The sequence below is a fragment of the Homo sapiens genome, chromosome 2, assembly GCF_000001405.40.
Source record: "Homo sapiens chromosome 2, GRCh38.p14 Primary Assembly".
In the NCBI taxonomy this organism is placed as follows: Eukaryota; Metazoa; Chordata; class Mammalia; order Primates; family Hominidae; genus Homo; species Homo sapiens.
Window position 1 is genome coordinate 30,598,025 of NC_000002.12, and position 7,397 is coordinate 30,605,421.

Consider the following 7,397-nt stretch of genomic DNA (forward strand, 5'->3'; position numbering starts at 1 on the left):
CTGCTGGTTTCAGTTTGCCAGTATTTTATTGAGGATTTCTGCATCGATATTCATCAGGGATATTGGCCTGAAGTTTTCTTTTTTTGATATATCTCTGCCAGGTTTTGGTATCAGGATAATACTGACCTCATAAAATGAGTTAGGGAGGGGTCCCTCCTTTTCGTTTGTTTGGAATAGTTTTGGAAGAAATGGTACCAGCTCCTTTTTGTATCTCTGGTAGAATTCGGCTGTAAATCTGTCTGGTCCTGGGCTTTTTTTGGTTGGTAGGTTATTTATTACTGCCTCAATTTCAGAACTCGTTATTGGTCTATTCAGGCATTCAACTTCTTCCTGGTTCAGTCTTGGGAGGGTGTATGTGTCCAAGAATTTATCCATTTCTTCTAGATTTTCTTTTTTTTTTTTTTTATTTGCAGAGGTGTTTATAGTATTCTCTGATGGTCGTTTGTATTTCAGTGGGGTCAGTGGTGATATCCCCTTATCATTTTGTATTGCGTCTATTTGATTCTTCTCTTTTTTCTTCTTGATTAGTCTAGCTAGCAGTCTATTTTATTAACTTTTTCAAAAAACCAGCTTGTGGATTCATTGATTTGTTTTTATTTTTGAAGTGTTTTTCATATCTCTGTGTCCTTCACTTCTGCTCTGATCTTGGCTATTTCTTGTCTTCTGCTAGCTTTGGAGTGTGTTTGCTCTTGGTTCTCTAGTTCTTTTAGTTGTGATGTTAGGATGTCAATTTGAGATCTTTCTAGCTTAGTGTGGGCATTTAGTGCTATAAATTTCCCTCTTAACACTGCTTTAGCTGTGTTCGAGATTCCAGTACATTATCTCTTTGTTCTTATTGATTTCAAAGAACTTCTTGATTTCTGCCTTAATTTCATTATTTACCTAGGAGTCATTCAGGAGCAAGTTGTTCAATTTCCATGTAGTTGTATGATTTTGAGTGAGTTTCTTTTTTTTTTTCTTTTCTTTTTTGTTTGAGATAGATAGAGTCTCACTCTGGGTCCAGGCTAGAGTGCAGTGGCGTGATCTCGGCTCACTGCAACCTCCGCCTCCCGGTTCAAGTTATTCTCCTGCCTCAGCCTCCCAAGTAGCTGGGAATACAGACATGCACCAGCATGCCAGGCTAATTTTTGTATTTTTAGTAGAGATGGGGTTTCACCATGTTCGCCAGGCTGGTCTCAAACTCCTGACCTCAAGTGATCCGCCCACCTCAGCCTCCTAAAGTGCTGGGATTCCGGACATGAGCCACTGCACCCGGCCTTTGAGTTTCATTAATCTGAGTTCTAATTAATTTGATTGTGCTGTGGTCTGAGAGACTGTTATGATTTCAGTACTTTTGCACTTGCTGAGGAGTGTTTTACTTCCAATTATGTGGTCTATTTTAGAGCAAGTGCCATGTGGCGCTGAGAAGAATGTATATTCTGTTGTTTTGTGGTGGAGAGTTCTGTAGATATCTATCAGATCCACTTGATCTAGAGCTGAATTCAAGTCCTAAATATCTTTGTTAATTTTCTGTCTTGATCTGTCAGGGGTGTTAAAGTCTCCCACTATTACTGTGTTGAGAGTCCCTTTGTAGGTCTCTAAGACCTTGTTTTATGAAACTAGGTGCTCCTGTATTGAGTGCATATATAGGATAGTTAGCTCTGCTTGTTAAATTGAACCCTTTATCATTATATAATGCCCTTCTTTGTCTTTTTTGATCTTTGTTGGTTTAAAGTCTGTTTTGTCAGCAAGTAGTACTACAAGCCCTGCTTTTTTCTGTTTTCCATTTGCTTGGTAAATTTTCCTCCATCCCTTTATTTTGAGCCTATGTATGTCTTTGCATGTGAGATGGGTCTTGTCTTTTTATCTAGCTTGCCATTTTGTGTCTTTTAATTGGGGCATTTAACCCATTTACATTTAAGGTAATATGTTTGAATTCGACCCTGTCATCATAATGCTGGCTGGTTATTTTGCAGACTTGTCAATGTAGTTGTTTCACAGTGTCATTGGTCTGTGTACTTCAGTGTGTTTTTGTAGTGGTTGGTAACGGTTCTTCCCTTCCATGTTTAGTGCTTCCTTCAGGAGTTCTTGCAAGGCAGGCCTGGTTGTGACAGATTACCTCAGCATCTGCTTGTCTGTAAAGGATTTTATTTCTCCTTTGCTTATGAAGCTTAAGTTTGGTCTAGAAGAAAAGAAAAAGAAAGAAACTCACTCAAAACCATACAACTACATGGAAATTGAACAACTAACTTGCTCCTGAATGACTCCTGGGTAAATAATGAAATTAAGGCAGAAATCAAGAAGTTCTTTGAAGTCAATAAGAACAAAGAGATAATGTACTAGAATCTTGAACACAGCTAAAGCAGTGTTAAGAGGGAAATTTATAGCACTAAATGCTCACATTAAGCTAGAAAGATCTCAAATTGACATCCTAACATCACAACTAAAAGAACTAGAGAACCAAGAGCAAACAAACTCCAAAGCTAGCAGAAGACAAGAAATAGCCAAGATCAGAGTTGAAGTGAAAGACACAGAGATATGAAAAACAAACACTTCAAAAATAAAAACAAATTGGGTTGGAAATTCTTTTCTTTAAGAATGTTGAATACTGACCCCAAGTCTCTTCTGGCTTGTAGGGTTTCCACTGAGAATCTGATGGCCTTCCCCTTAGTAGGTGGCCTGGCCTCTCTTTCTGGCTGCCCTTATCATTTTTTCCTTCATTTTGACCTTTGAGAATCTGATGATTATGTGTCTTGGTCTATGATGTACTTCTCATGGAGTATCTTACTGGGGTTCTTGGGTTTCCTGAGATTTGAATGTTGGCCCGTCTTCCTAGGTCAGGGAAGTTCTCCTGGATTATATCTTGAAATACGTTTTCCAACTTGGTTCCATTCTCCCTGTCTCTTTCAGGTGTCTTAGTCAGTCATAGGGTTGGTCTTTTTATATAATCCCATAGTTCTTGGAGGTTTTGTTCATTTCTTTTAATTCTTTTTTCTCTAATCTTAAATGCCTGTCTTATTTCAGCAACATAGTCTTCAAGCTCTGAGATCCTTTCCTCCGTTTGATCTATTCAGTTATTGATACTTGTGGTTGCATTGTGAAGTTTGTGTGTTGTGCTTTTCAGCTCCATCAGATCATTTATGTTCATCTCTAAACTGGTTATTCTGGTTAACAGCTCCTGTAATATTTTATCATGGTTCTTAGCTTCTTTGCATTGGTTTAGAACGTACTCCTTTAACTCAGTGAAGTTCATTATTACCCATAGTAACAAGGTGATATTTATAACAAGGGTTTCAAATAATCTGTATAGTTTTGCAAAAGAGCTCCTGAATTTTGGGATTCTAAATTTGAATACTGTATGTTATTACTTTTCTACATGCCAAGAGCTGTTGTAATATTTCTAGGCCATTTTTCAACACTAAGTAAGTTGCTTTGTAAGTGAACATAATTATTAAAGTGGTAAAACAACGAAGCAGAACACTAACTTCACACTTCAGTGTATTATTTATTTTGGTTAAGGACCAATAAGACCAAGATTGTGGGTTATAATCCCATGTGGGCCAGTTGATATCCCACCAACAAATACTTTCAGTATTCACATGAATATGACTAATTTAGTACAGACTCATGGTCAGCAGTGCAAGCTTCAGATCCCAAGATTAATAGATGCACTTTAAAACAATATGTTTTAATGAAAGCACTTTTTTGGCAGGTTTACTTTCTTTAATGCAATGCCAGAGATACACCAACAAAGTGACATAAATGTTGTATATAAGTTCTCCATAAATAGTATAATTTAATTGGCATGTCATATATATCTATAGATAGATATATTTATCTACAACAAAACAAGGATCCTATAGATATCTATCTATAGATATATATATCTATAGATATATATATAATGTTAAACTATAAAAACTTCAAAACAGTCCAATAAAGAAGTAGTATAAAATTGAGAACAAATCACATTTGGGGCCAGCTCCAACAGTGGGCTGCCTAGATATGATGAGGGGAAGAGGCATTTGACAGACTTTCCTTTTGTTAGGTAGGAGACTTGGTTGTTTTTCATCCAGCTTCTTTCTCAATAGGATTTCAGGTGGCAGGCAATAGTTAGATTTAATCAAATAGACAAATGGATGAAAGACCTGTAGGGCTTTCATTGGCAAATAATGGGGTGATAAGTGTGTTTGAGAAAGATGCTGCTTGTAGCTGTGTTAACAGTGTAGCAGATAGATTGCTGAGCTTTTAAAACCAGACATTTTCTGCACTGTGTATCTTACTAGATCTTTCCAGCAAATTGGAAGATGCATACTGGGAGGAGTTATAGTTCACTCCTTCTGCACCAGAATACCAGATCCAAAGTATTTTAACTCTAAGAGTTATAGAGAACTTTGAGAAATTTTCAGGAAGCCAGCCTTTGGTAAAATGGCTACAACGTGAATTTTGTTTCGGTGGTCCCCACCTTACCCTTTCAGTAACTGCCATCATTGACTGAGATCCTGCTGTTGTTTGGCCATCTTAGACTTCTGCCTAGACACACCTGCACTGGGAATTGTTTTGTACTCTGTCCCATCCAAAATCATCACTTCTCTGTCTCATTTCTTTCAAGTTTTTCACAAACAGATTAATCAGTTCCTTCCTAATGACTTTTTTTCTTCCTCTCTATATATTATGCACATTTAATATCAGCTTTTATTTTAATGGTGTGAAATAAAGGAGTGTTTCTAATGGTGTAAAGTTTAAGCATCATGACCATTTACTCTGACAGCAGGTTGATCCTGGAGTGCTACTCTTCACACTAGCTCAGTATTAGCTCAGCCCTGGCTTCCCATCCCTGTCTTTTGGTTGAATACATATACATTTAGACAAAGATAAGAAGATGTCTAGAAATGGGGATTGTACAACTTTCTTCCAGGAACAGCGGAACAGTAATTTACAGCATGGATTTGAGAACTGGAAAGAATTGAGTTAGAATCATAATTCCATGTCTTATTAGCTGTGTGACCTAGGGTGGTATATTTAACATCCCCTTGGTAAATGAGGATAATAAAGCTTTACCTAACATTCTTATTGTGCTGCTTCAGTGAAATAATATATCTAAGAAATTTAGCATCAATATATAATGCAACATATGTAAGAAATTTAAAATATGTGTGGCACAGTATCTGGCACAGAATAAACATTCAGAGAATTAATAAACATTCAGAGAATTGTTTTCTCTTTGCCACAGAGAATAAATTAGCAAGAAATTATTCAATGAATAATTTTAGAATTTTAAAAAAACCTAGCGTGTCTAGAGATACAATACAGTGAACGAAAAAGACAGATCATAATCATCATTAAATTTCAGACCAGCAACAAAGCAAGGATCCTAAAAGCTTCCAAAGAGATCAAAACTTAGAATGCTGTCACATTGTCCAAGGCAACACTGGTAGAAAAAGTGGAGGAAACCTTCAATTTTTGCTTTTTTTTTTTTGAAGGAAAATGGTTTCCAACTGGAGAATTCTGAGCATACTCAAATTCTCAATCAAATGAGAGGACAGAATAGGCATTTTCAAACATTCAAGATCTCCTTTGCACCTTTCTTGGGGAACTGTTGAAGGATGTATTGTAACAAAAGAGTAAACTAAAAAGGGTGATAGAGAATTTAGGAAACAAGGAAAACAACATATGAATAGAATCTCCAGGATTATTATGTTGAAGGAGGATCCAAGGATGACAGCTGTGCAACATGCATGTAAGATTATAGTCCTGATCAGAGTAGGGACATGAAGGGTTCCAGGAAGAATGGCCCCAAGATGATGAAAGCAATAGATCATCTGACATATTTGAATGTATGGGAAGGAGATTTGTACTTCTAGCAGAGAGTATGGGGATAAATTAGTGACAGGTCTCTAGAAAATTAAGCAAAGAGAAAAATAAGGTAATTATTAACCAGGGAAAAATGATTTGTGGAATAAGAAATGTAATTGCTACTACATAATTATACTGTGAATATTTACCTGGCTGTATAATATAAACACTAAATATTGAACTTACCAAGAATTATGATATAACTATATTTGGACCATGGAAGAACAGAGTAAGCACATGTCCCCAAGTGCCTTTAGATTAGGGCACAACTAACTCTGGCCAGAGAGCAGATGTAATGAGTGTCATTTTGGGGCTACAACAGTGTGACCCTTCAGCCCCCTCTTCCCATGCTTCAGCAACTTGCAAGGGACAGGGATAATTGGAATGCATCCAGTAGCCTGGAAATCTCTTCTATGTTCTTTAGGACTGTGACTTCTTAGCTTAGAGAAAAGACGACTAAGAGAAGATTTGACAGCTGTCTAGCTGTCTAGCTGTCTTTTAATCAGCATTGGTAAGCGTTTTCTGTAGAGGGCCAGGTAGTAAATATTTTAGGCTGTGCAGGCCATATGGTCGCTTTCCAAACTACTTAATTCTGTTGTACTGCAAATAAATGAATGAGTATGTGTTCCAATAAAACTTTATTTATGGACATTGAAATTTAAATTTCATAGGACTTTCAGGTGTGTAAAATAAAATTATACTTTCGCTTTTTTTCCCTGGCCATTAAAAAAATGTAAAAATCCAGTGAGCCGAGATCGTGCCACTGCACTCCAGCTTGGCGACAGAGTGAGACTCCGTCTCAAAAAAAAAAAAAAAAAAAAAAAGTAAACATCATTCGTAGCTCTCAGGTTGTACAAACACAGGTGGAATGGGTCCATGGGCTGTACTTTGCTTACCCGTGCTTTAATATTTGAAGGATTGTTATCCACAGAAGTTAAAAGCATCATACTGTTTGTTTTTAGAGGACAAACTAAGGAGTGGGAGTCCCAGAGGGATAAACTTCAGCCTCAAATTTCCTTGGGTAATAAGAGCATTTCTACAAATTAGAGCTGCCTGCCAGGAAAAAGGCTGCCTCAAGGCATCTGTGTCCTTGCCGCCCCCACACACAGGTGGGAGGTTGCACTAGATGACCTCTGTGCTCCCTTTTAATGGTTACATTACATGGACCTGTAACACAGTTAACATGGGTCATTCTGATAAAACCATTGTAGTGTTTTCCAAAGTACAGTAACTTCCCACCAGTTTTAGGACAGTGCTTTAGAAAAAAGACCAAAATGTTTGTGTGTATTGCCTTAACTATTGTAAATTAAGCATTTATAGTGCGGAGATTTACAGAGACTACTTGCTAACCTAAACGTGTTTGCACACAGCCGTATTTTCTAATTTAAATTCAATCATAATATCCAAACAGCCCTTGCTTAGACCAGCTAAAGGTATAAACTTCATTTTCATCTCATTAGGCCACCTGGAAGCTGCAATCAGTGAGTAGTCTTGACGTCAGTAGTCTGTCTGCTTCATTAAAATGTTAATTTCATGGCTTTAATTCCCTTTGTAGAATGTAC

General features: G+C 37.1%; 1 protein-coding gene across 10 annotated transcripts in view; it reads left to right on the top strand.

The window, feature by feature from the left end:
* Positions 1 to 7,397, top strand: part of LCLAT1 (lysocardiolipin acyltransferase 1) — a 196,980-nt gene that overhangs the window by 150,779 nt on the left and 38,804 nt on the right. The gene's annotated exons all lie outside the window — the stretch shown is intronic.